The following is a 25,033-nucleotide window of genomic DNA, read 5'->3' on the forward strand; positions in this document are numbered from 1 at the left end:
TTTTTCAATTTTACTATAATGTTCATTTTAAGGGTATAGACTTTCATCTGAATTTGAAATCATTACATAGAAAGTTCAAACAAAATCAATGCAAAGGCATTTGTCTATTTCTATAATAATTACATTAATGATCAAAAGAATATCTATACTAAATAAAATATTGCATTTTTATTTTCTTTTGGTGTATATTGAAAATTGATCTGTGTTTTAGAAGGAATGAAACTATCAAACATATTATGGTAGGCATGGCATAAAACTGGGTAAAAGAAAATCTTCTTTAGTTAGTTAATGGATTATCTGTTGCTAAACTGAAATAATCAAAAAGTCATCTAACATCAACTTGAATTCCTTCAAAAAATAAAACAGGTATGCAAATAGCATTCAAAATAAGGAAAGTTGTCTTTATTAACCATGAAAATGGTAAATTTTATAAATTTAGAATTGACTACTCTCTTCATCTTATGAAAAGTGGTAAAAATATGTAAATGAAATAGAAATAATTTTGAGGTGTTTATTTTCACTTACTTAGAACCATAATCACAAAATCAATTCCTAGTCTTCTTGATGACATAATACTGAAAAAAGGAAGGTGTATTTAGGTTGGAGATTTATATTTTAAATAAGAAGTAACCCTCTGTATAAACAATAGATCCTGGTTTGTAATCCCAGCACTTTGGGAGGCCGAGGCAGGTGGATCACGAGGTCAGTAGATCGAGACCATACTGGCTAACACGGTGAAACCCCGTCTCTACTAAAAAATACAAAAAATTAACCAGGCTTGGTGGCAGGCACCTGTAGTCCCAGCTACTTGGGAGGCTGAGGCAGGAGAACGGCGTGAACCCGGGAGGTGGAGTTTGCAGTGAGCCGAGATCACCCCACTGCACTCCAGCCTGGGGGACAAAGCGAGACTCTGTCTCAAAAAAAAAAAAAAAGATCCTGGTGATGATGATCACTCATAGTACTATGGGCTGTATGAATTGTATGGACCATTTAGGGGCACAGTGAGAAGGTGGGTACTTGCAAGTCAATGAGAGAGGACTCAGGAGAAACCAATTCTGCCAACATCTTGATCTTGAACTTCTAACCTTCAGAACTGTGAGAAAATAAGTGTCTGTGATTTAAACCACCCAGTATGTGGTATTTTATTACAGAAATACTAGTATACTAATATTGTCATGTTAATCACTCTTGTATTAAGATGAAAAGAAAACATTTAAAGCTATAGATGCCTCTTACTGCATCTTGTGCAATGTTCCATTGTGCAATGTCCTTAATACCATTTCTGTGGAATTAGTTTAAAACAATAGTTCAACAGCACAATTAAATGTCATGTATTTACAAGACTCTCGTCATGCCAAAAACATTGACAATGCTTAAAACATTGACTTATTGTGCAAAAAAATGCAACATTATTATGTGCATACGTTGAGAAACAATTTGAGGATGATCAAGAGCCAATATGAATGGGATGCAGGCCTGTTTCTAAAATCTCTGAAATGCTTCATATATTTTAAAAGCTAAACAAAAAGTAATAGACATTAATGGAAAACAATCATTAATTTATATTATTTAAGGACAGTGGATAGGATTCTGTTATTTCTGCTGTCCTTTATCTAAAATAAGCTTGCTTTGTTTTAAACTTCTTATTGCTTCTAAGCATTCTTTAGAAGAAAAGATTTGAGAACAATAATAATTAAAAACTACTAATGAAGTAATATATTTGCCAGCCCAGCCCATGGTTTACTTATAAAAGTTTCCAAAACTGAACATTTCAAAAGAAAGAGTAAGGTTCAACTTACGCTATTTTTTTTAAATAAAACAACAGATGCAGAAGGCAGTGTCACAGTATAATACCCAAACTATTGCAACATATCACTATTGTTAAATAAAGTACCTATAAAGTTGATATTTTAAAGGAAAAATAAATATAAATATATAAGTTTGGGTTAGTATTTTTCTTGTTTTTAGCACAATTAGCTCACTAATTTACCCTAAAACCCTTATGATCATTTATTCACTATGCCTTATAAGTGAAACAGCTTTTTGGTTGAGGTTTTGTCTATCTTAGTTACTGCTAACTATATAGATCTAATAGATTAGTGACCATACTTTGTAAATGTGAACATTTATTCCTCTGGACATGATTTTTGTCCAACTTGGAGTAACATAATCCATTTATTATAAGACTGGGTGCTATGGACTAAATGTTTTTGTTCTCCCAAACTTTATGCGTTAAAATTCTAAACCCCAATATGATGGTATTAGGAAGGGGACTCTTTGGAAGGTGACTAAGTCAAGAGTGGAGCTCTCGTGATGGGATTAGTGCAAATTACTCTAGAGCTCCGAGCTACCATGTGAGTACCAAGCAAGAAGGCCGGGTCTATGACCAGGATTTGGCCCCTCACCAGAACCTGACTATGCTGACACCCTGATCTTGGACTTCCAGGATCCAGAACTATGAGGAGTAAATTTCTGCTGTTTATAAGCTACACAGTCTATGGTACTTTATTAAAACAGCCACAAATTATGACACCGAGAAAAAATATCAGATATAAAATAATACTACATCATTTATGATCTTGTTTTTGTAAGGTACAATAACAGCAAAACCCTTTTAGGAGTGACAATAGCAATTACTCAGTGATCCTTACAGGAGTTGGTAAGTAGTGACTGGAAAGAAAGGGCTTTCTAGGAATGGGTTAATGTGAAAACTCAGCAACTTGCATACTTGCATATCATTAAAATGTTCATATTACCCAATCTATAGATTCAATGCAATCCCTTTCAAAATACCAATGACATTCTTCACATAAATAGGAAAAGCAATACTAAAATTTATATGGAAGCACAAAAGACCCAGCATAACCAAAGCTATCCTAGGCAAAATGAACAAAATGGGGGGAATCACATTACTTGACTTCAGATTATACTACAGAGGTATAGTAACCAAAACAGCATAGTAGGGCATAGAAACAGACATTAGGGACCAATGTAAAAAATAGAGAGGCAAGAAACAAATCCAGACACATATAGTGTGCCCATTTTCAACGAAGTTCTCAAAAACATACACTGGAGAAAATACAGTCTCTTTCAATAAATAGTGCTGGGAAAACAGACTATCTATATACAGACAAATGAAACTAGACCCCTATCTTTTACTGTATACGAAAGTCAAATCAAAGTGGATTAAAGATTTAAATCTAAAACCTCAAACCATGAAATTACTACAAGAAAACTGGGGAAAATCTCCAGGACTTTGGTCTGGGCAAAAATTTTTCGAGCAATTACACACAAGCACAGGCAAGCAAAGCAAAAAATGGACTAATGGAATCACATCAAGTTTCAAAGCTGCTGTGGAGCAAAGGATACACTATTAACCAAGTGAAGAGACAATATTTGCAAACTACCCATCTGATAAGGGCTTAATAACCAAAATATGTAAGGAGCTCAAACAACTATATAGGAAAAAATACAATAATCTAATCAAAAGATGGGCAAAAATTTGAATAGGCATTGCCCAAAAAAAGACATACAAATGGAAAACAGGTATATGCAAAGGTGCTCAACATTATTGACTATCAGAGAAATGCAAATCGAAACTACGATGAGATATCATCTCACCCTAGTTAAAATGGCTTATATCCAAAAGATAGGCAATAAAAAATGCTCGTGAGGATGCAGAGAAAAGGGAACCCTTATATACTGTTAGTGGCAATGTAAATTGGTATAACAAAGATGGAGAACAGTTTGGAAGTTCCTCCAAAAAAGAAAAAATTGAGCTACCATATAATCCAATAATCCCACTTGGATATATATGCAAAATAAAGAAATTAGTATATTAAAGAGATATCTGAACTTCTATGTTCGTCAAAGCACTGTTTACAATAACTAAGATTTGGAAGCAACCTAAGTGTCCATCATCAGATGAATGGATAAAGAATTGTGATACATATACGCAATGGAGTACTACTCAGTCATAGACAAGAATAAGATCCAGTCATTTGCAAGAATATGGCTGGAACTGGAGATCATTTTATTTTTTAATTTTTATTTATTTATTTATTTTTTTGAGATGGAGTCTCACTCTGTCGCCCAGGCTGGGGTGCAGTGGTGCGATCTCAGCTCACTGCAAGCTCTGCCTCCTGGGTTCACACCATTCTCCTGCCTCAGCCTCCCAAGTAGTTGAGACTACAGGTGCCCGCCACCACACCTGGCTAATTTTTTTTTTTTTGTATTTTTAGTAGAGATCATTTTATTAAGTGAGATAAGCCAGACACAGAAAGACAAACACAGCATATTCTCTCTTATTTGTGGGTTCTAAAAATTAAAACAATTGAACTCTTGGAGATAGAGAGTACAAGAATAGTTACTAGAGGCTTAGAAAAGTATTGGAAGGCTGAAGGAGAGGTGAGTATGGTCAATGGGTACAAAAAATACTTAGAAAGAATGAGTAAGATCTACCATTTGATACACAGCAGGGTGACTACAGACAATGATAACTATACATTTTAAAATAACTTGAAGAGTGTAATTGGATTGTTTACAGTCCAATGGACAAATGCCTGACAGGATGGATACCCCAATTTTCATGATGTGTTTATTTCACATGGCATGTCTGTATCAAAACATGTCATGTACCCCATACATATATACACCTACCTTGTACCCACAAATGTTTAAAATAAAAGAATTTAAAAATTAAGACCATATTAAAAATAAGCACAGGCTTTTAACAATACCAGTGATGCAATATAAAGATGTTTACAAACAACTAAAAACACTGATTAAATTATGCTACTACACAATGAAAATTATTATATTACATTTTGTGTTTAATCAAAATAAGCTTATTTTCTTTCCATGTATATTAGTTTACATTTAAACTATATTTTATCTTCAGAAACATTTCGACATAACTTACAAAACTCCCAGTTCGGTAGTGGCAATTTGCTAGTTATTAAAATACATTTTTTAAAATGTATAATTTAATTTTTAGTATCTTTTTTCTCATTCAGACATGATCTAGTATTGTTGATAATTTATAGGGCCACTTTATCTAAATAAGTTACTGAAAGTACTTCCAGTTTTTTACAATAAATAGATAAGAGCACAAAGATAATTGCAATACATTTTTGTAGCTTCTAAACATTTTATCATTCTGTATTTACATTTTAATTTGATTTTTAGTTTATATTTTAGTTATTGATACATATTTGGCCACAAGTACTAAAATTGTGTCTTGATTAGCTAGATATAATTTGCAGTTGTCAATTCTCTTATATAAATTATTTACTTGAAAATCCAATGCTAAATATAAAGTTTTATTTTGAGAATTATGCTCACAACTCGTGTGTGTGTGGGTGTGTGCCTGTGTGTGTATGTTTGTGTGCGTGTTTATTTCCTTTATCCTTCAGCTCTTAAAGAGGAGGGACATTTAAAAATTTTATAGTCATCAAAGTCTTCTTTACTTGAGAAAATGTTTAAGAAACGCATTGAAATATACATATTTTGGAATTATTGCCATCAGAAGGAATGTTTCACTTGGTTCCATGAACTCCCTGAAGAGCATCCTCGAATGTCCAGATCATTAGTAAGACCTTGGAGATTTAGCAGCCTTTCAATAATTCTTAATAGTACTACAGGTGTTTTTAAGATCATATTAAATAAAGCCACTGACAATTTAATTTTTTAAAAAGAAAATAATAAAATATATTTGAAGGGTTTGAAGGATCCACAGGGCAGAATAGATGATGTATAAAATGAGGTTTGTGAGTCGGTCTTCTTCATTAAATTTTAGTTCACTATTTTTCACTAATCAATTCAAAGACTCTAAGTACTTCTTTTTTATAGTAGAAGTAATAGAAGTTGGTACAAGTGGGACAAAAAATAGGACTTCTGATACTGGATCTTGCTGTAAAATAAAAGCTGCAAGTTTATTTTCACTCTTGTTGAAGCCAAAAATGGCCATTTTGGGTTAACATCAAGAATGTAAATTCCAACCAAATGAACATATTGGGGATGAAAAAATATAAGTTGATAAAACATGAAACACAACAATTTAAAGAACAAACATTTTGAAAAAATATTTAATAGTTATATTAATGAATATTTATTTTAAAATAAATTTATAATATTTGTTTTCTTTTTCTTTACATAAAAACTAAAATAGTTTTATAATTTATGCCTATTTTTCTGACACTCATGCAGGAAGTATTTTAAAGTGCATAAATAGTTACTAAAATCCAATCCATTCACAATCTTTTGAAATATTTAATTAATATTTATGTAAATTGTTTTTATCACAAGACAATAATTTTTCTCCATTTTCTTGTGTTTTGATGTTAGAGGGACACATTTTCTTTCTAGTTAATGTAATAAGAAAAGTTAATGAGAATCTATTTTTAATAAACATGTCTAAGAATAAAACATTAAAATCTGTCCCTAAGGGTTATAATTGTGAAATGTTCTAATTGCACACATAATCAATTTTGATGCACCAAAATTAATTTCAACATCAAAAAATAATATTTCTTAACTAGCCTCTTTTTTGTGTATATATATTATGTGCAATTAACTTTGGTAGACTGAGAAGATAGCTAGCTTCTGGTGAGAGTCTATTATAGTGAACTGGTCTCATAGGCACATTCCAGCTACCTGAACTGCTTAAACATCAAAACCCTCAAGGGCCAAATAGAACCAGGTACAGATTATACACCCAATTACTATTTCTAAATAATAATGAGAAGCTGATATGTCTTGCCCCAACATAACTAGTGAAATTCTGGTAACCAAGTATCATTTATATGTAGTTTATATATTCCATGGTGTTCCTCATTGGATCCCCAGAATTCTCCAGGCAGTTCTAGAGATTAGCATGTGGTCAATCCAGGCCAGCAGATACTAACTCATATGTTATAGATAATTTCAGCTGTTTAAAGCATTTCGTGATATAGAAACACTCTGGCCATCACAATCTCTTACCAAGTGGCCCCATCTCCCTCTCTAGCTTGTTGGTTTACTTTCCTACTGCTCCCAGCCCTGGGGCCCGCTGTGCTTTACTCAGCTTTATGATGAAGGCCTTCTAATTCTTCCTCCAAAACCTGGACCTCCCTCACCTTCAGGCCCTTGATACTCTTTGCAATGCTTTCTACACAGTCTTTTTGTGAGACCACCCCTTCTCATCACAGATCCATACTCACCTTCTCAGGGAGACCTTCTTTCAACATTGTCGGGGAGGAAACATTTCTCCCGTATCCTGTTGGCATCTCTGGCTGGGCCTAAGAATTAAACTGACATAAAACATATTAACAGGAGAAAAGAATACAACTTTTTTAAGACGTTGGGTGGCATGTTCTAAACTCCTTGAATATCCTACCTATGAGAGTCCGCCTCATGGCAGTGCACACAGGCTGATATATTATTTCTCCTCTGTTTCTCCCATTTAAATGTAAAGCACGTGAGATCAGAAACAGCGTATTTCCAGTTCCTTAAACTATGTTTGTCGCATGTTATTCTGGCTTACATTTGCGAATTTACATTTGCATTTACATTTGTGAATTCATAACAATGAATTTACCTTATTAGCCTCATCACTTAGATAAGCAAAACAATTAGATTTGAAAAAATAGTTTAAATATTGAAGTCATTTTACGTATATTGGTGGATATTATTTATATTCAGAATGATCCATACACACTCGATCATTGTGTGATAAATGTCAGCTCTACAAAGGTCACCAAAGAGTCACCTAATTTTTAATTACTGTTGATATTGAAAGGTTGATAAGATCAAACCTAGTCTGTGTCTCCAGACTTTCATGTTGTCAATGTGTCATAAAAACATATAGGCCATATCTTGCATTTTCTATTAATGTGACAAACACCATGCTTTTGAAGCCATCTTTTCCCAGTTGCTGGTACAGCTTAATGGCTGTAGAAAGTCTATATTTGTATCATTTTATTGTTTTTTCTTCTTTTTCTTTTTAGGTTTCAAAAATATCTTGAGAAATTACATAGAAACCGAATAATACTCAAAGAAAAAAACATTCCTCACCTTCCAATTAATGTACAAATTATACCTAAAAGGAAATTTTACAGCAGTTGATGTTTTTTATCAGCAATAATATAGCTTATCATCTGCTTTGGGGAACATAATTTGGAGAATTTATTTTCTTCCCCATTTTTTCAGGTTAACCAAGCCTAACTCTTCTTTTCAAATTACACTGAAACTTGAAGAATTAATCATTTGGGGTAGATGATGCTCCAGGGTGCTTTTGAGAATGTGAATCACCTTTAAACCCATGGTGTTGCTCTGAACATGAGGCCACCAATCCTGCCCTGAGCCATAATTCAAATTTTTCTGAGCCTTGACCACTAGTTCTAGTGACAAATGGAACAGATTCTACAAACTACCTTGCACAAATAATGCTTTTGGATTCCTTGTTGTACTCACTTGCAGAGCTAAAAGACCCATTTGTCTTCTAACCCTTAAGGACAAAAATGCATTAGTCTTTCTACTTCTAATCCAATCAGTGCCATTTTTTCTCTTGTGAGTGAATGGTTGTGCGGAGCCTCTGTCTGTCATTTTAACCACTGGCTTATGAAAGCTTTCAGTGTGATTCAGAACTCTATATTCTCCTGTAACCTTCATCACAGGACTTTAGTTGAAAAGAAAAAGGGAGATGCCTCAGAATAAAGCTGTTTTTAATCTTAGTGGTGTCTTAACTTTATATAGCACTTCAAGGAATAAAATCACTATGTTAAATGATCTATATGATAGAATAACAGGTAATATTAATTTTTACAAAATATAAAATATATTTGTTAAATTAAAATGTTCTAATTAGTTTGAATGGAAGCATAGTGTACCGGTCAAGACCATGAACTTAGAACACAGATACCTGGGTTTAAATCTCAACCAGAGCCAAGACCTCACTGTGGGGCTGTGGGCCAATTCTTTAATTATGTTGTGATGATCACCTCTGTTTCCTCAATTACGAGATGTTAATAAGAACAGTAGGTATATAAGTGACAAATTTAGGTATCCTGTGTTTCTGGATACCTCAAATATGTATCTATGTTTTACCTCATGTAGATTTTAAATTATTTACAGAAAATTTTGATGAATCAAACTGTGCCCAACGTTAGTTTGCACATACTTTGTGTCTAACAAATAACAATTGAGTGCTTGATTTTGAAATTTAAAAAAGCTAAATTTATTATTAATTTTGTCATACAAATTTTGTGCTGATCATGATAGCAGAGTTTGGCTAATTGGGAAAATATTCTTTAAAATTATAAGGGAGATGTTCTTGGTAGCCAGCCACTCCCGAACATACTTCTTATAAACTTCCAGGAAATTCTGCTATGACTGTTGCAATTAAGGGTGTATAATAAAGAACTACATTGGCAGAGTATCCCATATGTCTTTGTCTTGGTCTCAACTTAGATGGTATCTCATAATCAGGAGTTCTGATTTTGGATCCAACTTAGTACCCTCCTTAGCACTGGTTACTTCCCTCTTAACACAGTGACCAATACTTCAGGAAGAGGGAGCTAGACTAAGAGGCTATGATACAGTATAGAATGATAATAGCTACTACTGAACTGCCAAGTCAGCAGGTGATTTAATGAAAGATATATTGCATCAGACAAAAAGCAGATGCAAATCAGATTAATTAAAGAGAATGTGGAATGATAAGTTCTAGGCAAATGTTGGCATACAACATTCTAATTTTCCCATTCTATTTTGGGGCTAAAGATGATTTCATGTTTGCTCTACTATTGTTAGATGTTACTGTTCTATAAATGTCAACAAGGACAAGTCAGTTAATAGCATCCTTCTGAGTCTGCTAAGTTTCTATCTACTCTTTCTATTAATTAGAGAGGAGAGTTGAAATCTGTGAGCATGACTTTATATTTTTCTATTTTTCCTTGCAGTTATATCAGTTGTGTGCCATATACCTTGAAGTACAGTTACAAGATTTATAAACATTTAGATGTTCATGTGTTCTTATTGAATTGATAACTTTATTATTTTAAAATGACCCTCTAGGAATGTTCTTTATTCGAAATCTATTTTGTCTTATAATAATATAGCCATTCCAGGTTTCTCTTGATTGTTCTTAGCAAAATTTTAATTATATTTGCTAAATAAAAAGTTCTAATTATACTTAAAGTGAGTTTCTTGTAACAGCATATAGGTAGGCCTTGTCCTTTTTATGCAATATGACAATCTGCATTTTAATGGGCATTGAAACCGCTTAATCTAATGTATTATTGACATCTTCGAGTTTAAATAAATTTACTATCTTGCTATTTCTTTTCTATTTGTCCTACTTGTAGTTTGTATCATCTTTCCTGTTTTTTTTTGTTTGTTTTTGTTTTTTTTAAGTGCCTTATATGTATAAATCAATGATTTTTTTAACTGCTCCTTGCAGAGAAGGGCCACCCATAGGAAGTGTGCTTTGAGTAGCCCCAATGATTTTTTGTGATTCTGTTTTATCAACTTTTTTGGCTTATTAGCTAGGATGTGTATGTGTGAGCTAGGATGTGTATGCGTGTATGTATGTTTGTTGTCTTAGTAGTTGCTTCATGATTTATAATATATATCTTTAACTTTTTACAATCTACATCCAATAATATTATACCGTTTATGTGTAGTGAAAGAACCTTACAAAGATATGTTTTTATTTAAAATCCCCTGACCTTTGTACTGTTGTTCCCATGTACTGTGTGTCTATATGGTCCACAATACAATTATTTTTAAATAGCTATTACCTTCAAGCATATTTAAATAAGAAAATTATTTTACATTTAACTCTGTAATTATCATTTATGCTTTTTGATTTTCTTTATTTTCTTGTGTGGATCCAGATTTCTCTCCAGTATTTCTTGCCTCCATTTCAAACACTTCCTTCTACTGGCTATAAATTCTGTCAATAACCCTTTGTTGAAAATGTCCTTATTTCATCTATATTTTAAAATACATTTCTACTAGGTAAAGAATTCTAGGTGAACAGTTATTGTCTTCAGTACTTTAAACTTTTTGTTTCATTATCTGAAGATGCTCATATTGCATATGATAACAAATGGTTTTTTAAAAAAATTTACTTTGTGTATAATATGTATGTTTTTCTGGCTGCTTTTAAGATTTTCTTAAATATTTTGTAAAGATGTTTAAGGTTTTAAAAAGATTTTCTTAAAATGAACGACAAACACATTTTAAGCACTTTGGGTACGATAGACTTTGGTCAAATTTTGTTCATTTTGTTGTACTTCAGTTTCTTAACCTTCCTTGATTTTGGAGTTTAGTGTTTCTTCCACTTGGACAAATTTTGACTATTATTTCTTCAATTTTCTGTGTGTTTGGTCCTGTTTCTCTCCCTCTCCCTTGAGAGCTTCAATTACATATAAATCAGGCCAATAACCTGAAGTTACTCCATATCTCACTGATGCTTTTCACCTTATTCCAGTCTTTTTCTCTTTGATTTTTACCATAGATTCTATTTATTTTCAGATTAATTAATGCTTCCTCCTTCAATGTTTACGCATTTGTTTTTCCAGATAAGTGCATTTTTTACCTCAGATATTAAAGCTTTTATTTATAAATGTGTGATTTGGGACTTTTTAAATATCCGTGTCTTTAGTTACCATGAGCAGTCTTTTTGCTGGCTTCTGGGAGATATAATAATAACTATTTTAATAATTTTGCTGTTAATATCTTCATCTTTTCTGGGTCATAATTTATTGATTTTTTTCAGTATTATGAATTACCTTTTCCTTCTTCTTTACCTTACTGGTAAATCTCAACTGAATGACATATATTAAGAATTGGCATTTTCGGGGTCCTGGATACTTTGTATTCCTATAAAAAATATTTAGCTTTGCTCCAGTATGTAATTAAGAAATATGATGTATTACTCACCATATTAGTTTTTAAGTTTGTTAAGGACCAGAATAACATTTATTCCACAGTCAATTTGAATAATTATCATATTGTAAGAATATCAAAAAAACTTCAATATATTCTGTATCATGGCTCATGAATTACAGGTTCAGCATCCCAAATCTAAAACAATCTGAAATCAGAGACATTTTTGGTCCTAAGCATTTAGACTAAGGGATATTCAAACTGTATCAGGTCTCCTCTCTAACTTGTAAGAATAGGCACTATGCCGTATATTGACTACATTTACTTTTGCCTGTAATTTTTTTGGGCAGTTCTTTCCATAATTTTCTCTCTATAAAGTACTCTACTCTCTGGTGGTCTGCCCTAGGAACTCTAACTGCCTTGGTCTCTCCAGATTCCCAACTCAGTTCCAGCTCAACTCAGTGATCCTTTGCTTGACCTGGATTGCTACTCCTTATGTTGCAGCCTGGAAATTTTCTCTAACCAGTAACTAAACTGGGCTTTGCTGATGGAAAATCTAGGACATTCACTCTCAGAGATCATTTACTCTTAAAAACTTTTATTGACTCAGGATCAAGTAGAACCAAGTCTCACTTAAGATTTGACAGAGCTATCACTGTACAAAGAAATTTTTAATAAAATGTATTTTCAAAATGAATTATTGAAACTAAATGAAAGTGACAGGCTCCAGAAAAAACAAGAAAAATATGTTATTCTGAAAGCAAATGTAGCTTTTAATAGAAAACATCCAAAGATAAATTAGGATTATTCATTTAGTCAAAGAACTGCTAGGGCAATTTTAATGGCTGTTTAATCTATTAATGGCACTAAAACAGACTCTTGATAATCATTAAATCAAGGTAGTCTCAATTAAACTATAAGGATGTAGAACTAAAAAAAGGTAATATGATTTGTGCAAGGTGATATGATTTGATGCAAGAGTACTTAATTCTGTTTATTAATTCTGGGATCTGGTCTCTATAACCATATTACATAAATTACATAAATAAATGATGTTAGTGAAGACATACTTAAAAATAATCACTAGAAAATATATTATATAGATGGTTACTCAATTTATTCATATGTAGGAACTTTTATTGTATCACTGCAAACTTTTTGGGCCATTTAGAACTGAATTGCCCCTCAAGTCCCATATTTGAAAACTGATCTGACAAAAGAATTATCTAAAAACTGGAAGTAAACGCTGAGCCTACTAATTTATGCCAGCTTCAATTCTCAAAATATGCTATGTTCTTATTGCTAAGTCTAAGTGAGAACAGGTGTATTTAATTTGTATTTATTTCAGAACAGACGGCAATGTAATTTGTCATGCAAAATATCTATTATAGTGTCATTGTGTTATATGGCTGTTATATAGACTTTGTGATCTGGACTAGCTAATGACAGTAGAAAGATTTAGCTAAAGATATAGTCATATACATGATATGTTTCTAAAGGAACTTGACTGAGAAGTGACCTCTTTCCTTTATTATTAGAATTTATTGACATTTTTTCATGCCACATTCAGCAATTTCATTTGTTTAAATGCAAGCTATATTCATACACTTTATTCCATTTTTTAATAATTTGAAAAATATTGTTATGAATTTCAAAAGTTGCTCATAATTTTTATAAATTACTATCATATAGCAGTCTATTCTTAAACAATAGACATAGAATTCTGTATGGACACAAATACTATTTTTCTACTTATTAGGTGTTATTTCTACTTCATATGCTAACATTCTGAAAAACAGTAAATGACCTCTTGATACATTAAACTTTTTTTAACATCAAAGATTTTCCAATAAACTTTGTGCCTCTTAAAGGAATAATTTCAACATGCTAACTAATTTTCATAATTGTAAGCTGTCCAAGATAGCAGAAAGTGCCTGTTAGATTCTCAGAATATATCCTTTGTAGTCTCTGCCATTTATTTGTTATTTGACTTGAGGCTCTTTGAATTGATCAAACTGTATCTAGTTGTTCACAAAAGGCAGTTGGAATTGCATTAACTGTGACAACTCTCTGAAAGGGTGGTTTCTAGAATAAAATTATGTAGAATGGATAAAGATGTATTGAAAGTCACAAAATTTTTTCAAATTAACACTGACTGAGAAAAATGAAGTGTCATTGTTACTTGCAGAGGTTAGTGTATTGAAACTGGAGAGAAGAAAAATGAAAGCAATTGTCATATCACAAAGAGAATTTTGATTCTGATCATTTTATGTTATCTGGTCAAATTTGGGTATTTCAAAAGAAAAACTCTCTACAGTGTCTTAATTATGTTATAAAGTGTACAGAGCAGCTCAGCTTGTTCCCACATTAGTTTCTATTTATGGTGCATTACAGAATTCTGCCATATTATGTTGAAGACTCAAAAAGAGCATTGATAACACATCACTTAAATGTGACACCTTAATATTGCCTTCTTATTGCTAAAAGTGCTCATAAAAATTTGATGAGATTAAATTGGTACCTTTTTACTTACTTTGGCTATTAAATTCAATTGATATTTGATCTTTTTATAGAAAGAAAGGAGGCAAAGTATAACTTTCAATGGTTTCCCCCCACCCGCCGAGGACTAATAACACTTGGAAGAAAGATTCAACACAACTAAACAAATTGGATGCAGCAAGAAAATCTCTTTCCTTGCCTTAATATCAAACACTACTCCAGGTGCAGCAAAAGCTTAAGTGTAGTAGGTTTAGCCCTGTAGCTCCACTTCCACTCAGAAGTTTTAGAGAAAAATTATAACTGGATGACACAGTACTCATTTTCCTTCTTATTCCCTTCTTTCAAAATGTACAGCTTACTTCATCACAGCCTCATCATTAGAGCATTTCCTTATGCATTACCTGTAGTCATCTCCTTGGTACTATTCAAAAGATGAACAGTTTACTTATCTCTCCCTTATAAGATCTAGTTATTCACTGAGAAATGTTCCTTAAAAATACTTACAGGATGAATGAGAACAAGTTATGTGAAAATACATAAGTTTCATTTAACCTCAACATCAAAGGGTATGTTGAAATCAAAGAAATTTTAAACGCCAAATAGTTATTATAAAATACATGTTTGAAAGCCCCTTGAGAACTTCATAAAATCAAGAAAGAGGAAATGGATGAGTCCTTAGCAACTCACAGAGCCAGTTTCACAACCTCCTGGCCTTGTGGCTTAGCTATACGAAATAGATGAAAAATAGAAAGCTTTTATTCATCACTCATGTTGTTCTCCAACTAAAGTCCTTTAAACAGAGAGGAAATGCAAATCCAAGTTGCCTTCTGTAAAAAAAAAAAGTCTGCAAACTGACATTTCAATGTCTTTATACATTGACCTCTAAAACAGTATAAAGTAATAAAAACTGTTGGGTGAAGGATAAAGACAAGCAATAGCTTTATAACATATTCATAAAAGATGCCACAATACTGCCATCTACAGCTTCAGTATTTGCCATTTTTAGATATTACAATGCATGTTTCGTATTTTAAAATAAGAAGAACATGTGACTTGAGTTGTGTGAACATGTGATATGAGTTGAGGGTCATGTTGGGTGAACTGCTGTTAATAAAAGTATAAGTGGATTTCAGGATGGAGATGAAATGTTAACAATGAACAAATCAATTTATAATTATTTACATACAACTGTAATTGAGGTTATTTATAATGTTTAAAATTAGTATGAAATTTACACCACCATTCTACATATTTCAGTTTTGATAATGGTCTGCTTGAAGAAAAGGAAAGAGAAAAAAGGAGACTCCAAAATCTTTTTCTTGTCAAAGAGACACACCAAGAAGATTGTCACTGCTCCTGTTTCTTTCCAAAGTCATTGATTGCCCTTGACCTTAATACAGCCTCACATTAAGATCTATGGAGATGAACAGACTGTATTAGAAACTAATCTACTTTCAGAATTCTAGTGTCTTCTCAGACCCTGTATTGAAGATCTGGGATCAAACCTCACCACCATTTTCAGCTCCTGAAATACAAGGGTAAAAGACCTCGGTGAGAAATCATGCAAGCAGCCTTTCAATTCTAAATTAAACACCCTTTTTTGTTTGCTTTGTTTAACGGACGTGATAGAATAAATTTTCTGGTTAAATCTTATTATTTATTTTTTGTTTTTGTTTTTCGAGATTTAGTCTCCCTCTGCCACCCAGGCTGGAGTGCAGTGGTGCAATCTTGGTTTGCTGCAACCTCCACCTCCTGGGTTCCAGGGATTCTCCTGCCTCAGCCTCCCAAGTAGCTGGGATTAAAAGGCATGCGCCACTGCATGCCACTATTTTTTTTTTTTTTTTTTTTTGGATTTTTAGTAGAGAGAGAATTTCACCATATTGGCCAGGCTGGTCTCAAACTCCTGACCTCAGGTGATCTGCCCACCTTGGCCTCCCAAAGTGCTGGGATTATACAGGCATGAGCCACCGCGCCTGGCCAAAAATAGACTTTATTTCTTAGAGCAGCTTTTCTATCCAAAGGTAAATGCTATTTTGCTATTTTATTCTTGTTTTGTTTTTAGTGAGAGTGCATATTGTACCACTCTTGCTTTGTTTTATTTGGCTGAATCTAAGGGGCAGATTGGCCTATACTACCCTTTGACTGTGCTGATTCTGTCTAGTAGGACAGGATAACAATGACTTGCTACTATACAGAGAACTCACTAAGGAGAATTCTTTTAACTTGTATTTTAAGTTCAGGGCTACAAATGCAGGTTTGTTCCATAGGTAAACTTGTGTCATGGGGGTTCGTTGTACAAATTATTTCATCACACAGGTATCAAGCCTAGTAACTATTAATTATTTTTCCTGATCTTCTTTCTCCTCCCACCCTCCAATCTCCAAAAGACTCCAGTGTGTGTCGCTCCCTTCTGTGTGTCCATGTGTTCTCATCATTTAGCTCCCACTGATAAGTGAGAGAATATGCGATATTTGGTTTTCTTTTCCCGTGTTAGTTTGTTAAGGATAATGGCCTCCAGCTCCATCCATGTCCTTTCAAAGAACATGATCTTGTTCTTTTTTATGGCTGTATAGTATGCTATGGTATATATACACCACATTTTCTTTATCCAGTCTATTATTGATGGGCATTTAGGTTGATCCTTGTCTTTGCTATTTTGAATAGTGCTGCAATGAACACATGTGTGCAAGTGTCTTTATAATAGAATGATTTATATTTCTTTGGGTATATACCAAGTAATGGCATTTCTGGGTCAAATGGGATTTCTGTCTTTAGGTCTTTGAGGGATCGCCACACTGTCTTCCAGGATTACCCAGCATCTATAAGGAGCTTAAACAAATTTACAAGAAAAAACACACACATTAAAAAAAGTGGGCAAAGGATGTGAACAGACAATTCTCAAAAGAAGCCATACATACGGCCAACAATCATGCGAAAAAAAAGCTACATCACCGATCATTAGAGAAAAGGAGAACTTTTGCATATGCCTCACTCTATTGAAATCTCGTAATGTGGTTAATATTTTGTTTGTTTTTCATTAAAATTTCTATTGCTCTGGTGTTGCTGAATTTGGATAAATAACTTAGACACATCAAAGAGATTAGTCTGACAATTTTTATGTTAAGAATTATGGAATGTATTGATGGTTGATTGTCCATGTATTTCTGATCAAATAGTCAGAACACCTAAAAGACAGGCAAAGTTTCAGTATAGAAAACCAGGAAAACTGATCAATGATGAAAACAATATGGCAAAGCAATAACCATAGAAATAGACCCACTGAATGTTTCTCCCTGTCAGAAATCAGTGTTTCAATAAGCACAGGGCAGCCATTACTCTCCTTTGAAGAATCAGGCTCAGCTACTTCATCCCTTCCCTACTTCTCCATTCCCCGCTCAGAGAGGGTAACATGCCTCTGAAATGGTTAAGATTAAGCAAGGCAATATGCCCTTAGGAACAAATAAGCAGAAGCAAATTGCCACACACTTTGTGGCTTAAAGCAGCAAAAATAACAAATACACATTTCATTGTAGTTCTGGAGGTCAGAAATTCAAAGCAGGTCTCACTGAGCCAAAATCAAGGTGTTAGGAGGCATGGGTTCTTTTTGGAGGCTCTAGCAGAGAATCTAGAGTTTCCTAGACTTTTCCACTTTCTAGAGGCCACCAGCATTCACTGGCTCCTGGTGTATTCCTTCCTCAATTCAAAATGTATCACTCCACTTTGCTTCCTTTGTCATATCTCTTTTCTCTAATCTTTATATTTTTGCCTCCATCTTATAAGGAATTTTATGATTACTTTGGGCCAATCTGGGAAATCTAGGATAAAATCTGGAGCACACTGGTTTGATCATGGCTCACTGTAGCCTCAAACTCCTAGGCTCAAGCAATCTTCCTGCCTCAGCCACTGAGTAGCTAGGACTATGGGCATGCACCCCCTTCACCTACCTAATTTTGTGTGTTTTGTAGAGATGGGATCTCCCTATGTCACCCAGGCTGGTCTGAACTCCTGGCCTCAAGCAATCCTCCTGCCTCAGCCTCTCAAATTATTGGGATTACAGGCATGAACCATTGCACCCAGCCTCAAGATATTTAATTTAGTCATCTGTAAAGTTCCTTTTCCATATAAGGTAACATATTTACAGATTCTGGGGATTGGGACATAGATATTTTTGAAGGAGTGAGTGGGGCAGTGCTGTTAGAAATATTCAGTTTGCCACAAATGCTAGTCACATGCAAGGGACGTAGCTTCCAGTGACAGTTTTGCAACACTTAATAGTCTCGGACACAGTGAACATTAAAAACTCTATTTTTCCTTCACTATCACAATTCTGCAATAACTTCCAATACATAGGAAAGGTGCCAAAATAATTATTATGGAATAAAATATCTTCTGTGAACTCACAATGACTGAAATTTACCATTTTAGGTTATTCTCTTCTGCTTTCCTTGTTTTATTCACAAAAGCATTTATTTTTCCAGTTCTTGAAAAGTGCCAAGTTCTTTCCCTTCTTGGTGCCTTCACATATAATTAATTTTCTGCACCGCCGAAGTCTTATAGCCGAATCCACTTTTTAATAGAATATTTAATGCCTTATGGTCTTCAAGCTTTTGTGTGTGTCTGACTTTGCATCATCACTATAAGGTGGACAAGGGAAATATCCTGAACACTGAGTTAATTGCTGTTCCTCTAAAAACAAATAAATAAATACAAACAAAAAAAGCTGTTTTGTAGTAAATTGTGAATTTGTTTTAAATTTTCAAAATGTGTAAATTCATGATTAATGTAAAACTAGCCAGGCGCGGTAGCTCACGCCCATAAATCCCAGCAGTCTGGGAGGCTGAGGCATGCGGATCACCTGAGGTCAGGAGTTAGAGACCAGCCTGACCAACATGGAGAAACCTTGTCTCTACTAAAAAATACAAAATCAGCTGGTCGTGGTGGCGTACACCTGTAATCCCAGCTACTCGGGAGGCTGAGGCAGGAGAATCGCTTGAACCCAGGAGGCGGAGGTTGCAGTAAGCCAAGATTGTGCATTGCATTCCAGCTTTGGCAAAAAGAGTGAAACTCTGTCTCAAAACAAATTAATAAATAAAAATAAAAAAATTAAAACATCCAAACAATGCGAATATATTTAAATAAAAAGTGTAATATCAACATCAGCCCCTCCAATCCTAACCTCTCTCCAAAGGTTTACACTTTGTAGCTCAAAGCAGGAGTCACCCAGGTATCTCACTTTTTCAGTGGGATTTTACATTGTCTCTGCAATGCTAGGATTGCAGCTCCTGGTTGTCAAAGGGAGAATTCACCAGGAACATGGCAAGGGTTTCAATGAACTCCAAACTATAAATGTTTGCAAAACACTGTAGAATTCTTGTAGCTGGGAAGTAGCCAGCTTGAATAGAAATTGCCGTTCATTGAGGGATAGTTGACTCTGGTCAACAGGTGGTAGTTGGTTTGCTTTTACAAAAATGAGAGCAGAGAGAAATATGTATGGAGCCATGTCACTATTGGTCCCTCCTAGCTCTTCACTGATCCATTATAATGGTGAATGGATATGAGCAGCAACCCTTCCTGAAAGGAACACGGCTTCCATTGACTCAATAATGATGGCTGGTGTCACACTAATGAATAGTTCACTAAAAACTACCAAAGTGAAAGCAAAGGGCAAGAATAATTTAGAATGAATAGTATAGGAGAGAGAGAGAATGAGTACCAGTTGCAAGCTGGAGACCGTCTGCAGAGATGGAGCCTATATTTCATTCTATTAATCTCCCTCTTCTAAATTTTCTTACAGGAAGAGAAGTCTCCAGCAGCCATGGAGGAGCTATTCTCTAACACTGCTTAGAAAGTGGATCTGTGTGGCCCAAGTGGTAGACTGTGCTCACCAGGAAAACAAGTACTCAGATCTACTGCTTCTGGGAAATCTGCATAATTGACCAATGGCCTCAGTGCTACCCCACTGTTATAAAATGCACAGGAGACAAGGACTAGAAAGAGAAACCTTCAACATATATAAGACATGTTTTTCCTTCCAGACATTTGCCAGGTTATGAAGCCACATGTGGTTAAAATCTAATAAGCTAAACTCAAAATATGCAAAGGCTAGAACTTCCAGGAAGATGTAACAAAGATCTGCCAAGTCCAGTGAAGTTGATACCTCAGTGGTCGTGGGCTGGACCTGAAAGGCAGTGTGAAATATTGAGAGGCATAGTCCTCCTTAAAGCAGAACCCTGCAGCATGTATACCAAAGTCACATCTTCAAAGCTAATCGCTGTGACCTGTTATTGAAACAGACATTTTACTATGACATTGAGGTGACCTCTCATGCCTTTCACCTGTTAACACAGGAGTGGACAGATACTCACAGGAAATAAATAATGAACTCAGTAGAAAAAAAGACCTATGAACTGAAAGAGAATACAATAGAAATTATATTTAGTAAAGCACAAAGAGAAAAATGAGTAACAAGAAGAGAACTTTCTATATGATGCATATGGAACACAGTCAAGTAAAGACTAAGCAGAGCATCATAACAGCCTATATGTGGAAACTTCTCTATTCATTTATTACATTACATTTGTTTGTATCCTTTAATTGTACCCTTACTTTTTATCCTGTCAGCTTTATTCTTTCTGGCCAGTATCATTTATGTAAAAATTGATAGGTAGGACTGGCTGGGCGCAGTGGCTCACGTCTGTAATGCCACCACTTTGGGAGGCCGAGGCAGGCGGATCACCTGAGGTCAGGAGTTTGAGACCAGCCTGGCCACATGGTGAAACCCTGTCTCTACTAAAAATAAAAAAATAATAAAAATAAAAAAAATAGCTGAGCATGGTGGCGGGTGCCTGTAATCCCAGCTACTTGTGAGACTGAGACAGGAGAATCGCTTGAACCTGGGAGGCGGAGTCGCAGTGAGCCAAGATCATGCCACTGTTTTCCAGCCTGGGAGACAAGAGCAAAACTCCATCTCAAAAAAAAAAAAAATTAATAGGTAGGACTAACCAGATGTATTTCTATCAATATTATTTTTAATATTTTTCTTTTTAATCAAAATTTAAAAGTAAAAATATGCATAGGGAAAATGAGACTAGTATTTATTTATTAGCTATTTAATTTCTACCAACTCTATTAAATCTTTTGGAATGTCTTAAAGTATAATTTATATTTTAGTTTGGATAAAGACATAGCTATATATTAACATGAATATGAAGTTATATATTGATTTATATTATATTTCCTATAAAATCACATAATACATAGTAAGAATGTATAAGATGATACAAGTCAAATCATGGATGCTTGGAGATCTTGTGATGAAGCCTGTTCTTCCCTTGGTAGCTGGGCATGATGTGGCCCATCTTCATGCTAGGCCAGCATTCCCTTGCTTCTGTATACCTAATTTCTCCTTCTCAGATGCACTCCCAACAATGTATGCAGAAAGCTAAAAAAATGAATGAGTGTAGTTAATAAGATGCTATTGAAACTGAGCCCCAAATCTAGCTCTGAGCACAATGATAGCTAAAACTTAAGGAGAGGCAGATCAAATAGATTTCATCACCAAAGCACAGAAGCATATTTGTTCAACAACAGAGCTTTGCATTTACAAAAGAGAAAAGAGCATGTTTGGGGTAATTTATTTTGAAATTGCTCTGTCAAAAGCTAATTTCATTTTGTTCCATGAGGCCAATTTGGCTCATATGTTTGTGCTTTGATAAAGGCATAGGAATAATATTAAAATTGTTGCAACTCTACGGAGATTATAAAACTTTCTCAAGGCAAATTTCTTGTCTCTGGAAAGAAAGAATGGTGAATAATGAATGACGGAAATTTGAAAATGAATTCGTTCAACAAACACTTATTGAGTGAATGCTGTGTGCCCGATGCGTTAAGTCTAAATCATCTAGTGCTGCAGTGAGTGAGCCAGGGTGAGAAAACAATGAAAAGAGCAGACAGGTTGTTATTCAAAATGTCTTTTTTTTTCTCCATGCAATGTTTCAAATTTGGAGAGTCATAGTTTGTTATTGATCCATCAAATATTATGAACTATAAGACCCCAATATACAGTGGCTTAAAAATAGAGATATATTTACCTCTCACCTAACATACCAGGGCATTTCCAGGTTTTATAGTAGCTTAATCATGTCAGGAAACCACACTTCTTTCATCTTCTACTCCTCTATCCCTATAGGCCTTTGCCTATCATGTGAAAAAGAGTGTTAACCAGTGGGAAAAATAAAAAAGAAAAAAGGGAAGAGTAATTCATATCATTTGAATTAAATAACCTAGAATTTGCACACATCATTTCTGCTTCTATCCTTTTAACCAAAATAGGAAGTTACGGAACACCTACTGAAGGAGCTGGGCATAGAGTTTTGCTGGGTAGCCAGGCAGGTTATTCTTCCCACAAATGAAAAACACTCATTTTTAATGCAATAACACAGGGATCTGTGTTACAGGGTAACACGCAGATCTATTCATTCACTATCGCAAGGTAAATCCCACAATTTTTTTTTTTTGATAAGTAATTCCACTAGGGGTTTTTATTTTGGTTTTTTTTTTTTTTTTTTTTTTTTTTTTTTTTTTTTGGACAGAGTCTCGCTTTTCACTCTGTCACCCAGGCTGGAGTGCAGTGGCATGATCTCGGCTCACTGCAACCTCGTCCTCCCAGGTTGAAGCAATTCTCTGGCCTCAGCCTCCCGAGTAGCTGGGACTACAGGCACGTGCCTCCATGCCCGGCTAATTTTTTGTATTTTTTTTAAGTAGAGACAGGGTTTCATCGTGTTTGCCAGGATGGTCTCAAACTCCTGACCTCGTGATCTGCCCGCCTTGGCCTCCCAAAATGCTAGGATTACAGGCGTGAGCCACCGCGCCCGGACACCAGCAGGTTTTTGACTCATGGGCTAAATCAAATCCTCTCCGATATAAAATATAATAGAGAATAGGAATATGGTCACTACCATAATACTCTCATTTGGAAAATGGAAGAATAAGAAACAAACATCCTCTTTTCTAAAGTAAATTAATACATACATGTGAAAAGTATCTGCTCTGCTACTCAAGAGATTTTCCTTGATGAATATTTATGGCAGTTCTGGGTTTCGCTCTCTTGAACGTTTTTCTCTGCTTAGAAACTTCTTGGCCACATCTGAGATTGGACTGAGAAAGAAAAATTATGTCCTTAAAACCTGCCTAACATTTACCCAAGTCATTGTAGTTTGTTGTTCATTTATTTAGGTAATAATACACTTGCTGCAAAACACACAGCAGGTTTTAAGTTTTCTTGCTTCTAATAAGTTTTGTGTGAAAATGATTAAACAAAGATTATATCTTTACATAGTTGGTTTGTTTTGTTGTCTGTTAATCTTTGAAATCTTGTTTGTTTTCTGGTGTTTACTGGCCACAGAACCTGCCATTTCTATCAATATAATGACAACTACTTTAAAGCAGGGCCTCAAAATGAGAGTTAGAGATGAGACACCACTTTGGAGGGATAGATTAGAAAAATAAACTTCGCTGGTGCTGCCGCGCTCCCCCAGGCATTAACTTAGCGAGTGGATAGTGCTTTTGTGAGAAGTAGATGCTCCTATCTCTAGGCACAGCCAGCTTCAGTACATGTTGAATAAAGCTGAAGCAATGTTTCAGCCCTAGCCTGCTGCCTTCACTGGCAGCCTTTTAACAGTGTAGTTCGGCTGTGCAGACTGGACTTGCATTAAAGCATTCTGGTGCAATAAACCTGAGTGGTTAACGAATGTCCTTAATTTGATACTCGCAGTTGGACTGGCTTCCAAAGTCTAGCTGCAGAGGTAGAAAAAGCTTGAGGAAGAATGTTGGCTTCTGATCATGCTGCCTCTTTAGAAGCAAGCCAACTCTACGTAATAAAAGTTCTTCTCTGGTAGATCTTTACTAAGCGGAAAATATTTCGTGCTTTTTCAATTATTTCTGCTCAACAATCAAGCTATGTTGGTCTACCTTCCAGGGATCACTGGCGACATTTTTGCTATGACTTACCAAAGGTCATCAACTTCAGCAATAGTAGCTGTGAGTCCTTGTTCAGTCTTTTCCCTGTTCTGTTAGGGTAACACATTGTTTTGGGGTTTTTGGTTGTTGTTTTTGTTTGTTTGTTTTTTGCTTTGAGATGGAGCCTCACTCTTTTGCCCAGGCTCGAGTGCAGTGGCGCGATCTCGGCTCACTGCAACCTCTGACTCGCAGGTTCAAGCGATTCTCCTGCCTCAGCCTCCTGAGTAGCGGGGATTACAGGCATGCACCACCACAACTGGCTATTTTTGGCATTTTTAGTAGAGATGAGGTTTGGCCATGTTGGTCAGGCTGGTCTTGAACTCCTGGCCTCAAGCAATCCACCCACCTCGGCCTCCCCAAGTGCTGGGATTACAGGCATGAGCCATCGAGCCCGACTGTTTTTGGTCTTTGTCCAGCATTTTCCTACATCTTTGTACCAAAATCCTTATGGTTAGAATGCAGGCTAAGCTGCTTGTATAAAGGACCACAAAACACAGTGACTTGAACAGTATATAAATTTGTTTCTTTTTTATGTGACAGTCACGTTAGGTGGACAAAGGCAAGCAGGAAAACTTAATGTTGTTAGAGAGGAAGATTATCTGTAGAATGGGTTGACAATCCACCGGGTTAAGGCTAACTCATCACA

The sequence above is a fragment of the Homo sapiens genome, chromosome 21 (genome assembly GCF_000001405.40).
Source record: "Homo sapiens chromosome 21, GRCh38.p14 Primary Assembly".
NCBI classification, from domain to species: Eukaryota; Metazoa; Chordata; class Mammalia; order Primates; family Hominidae; genus Homo; species Homo sapiens.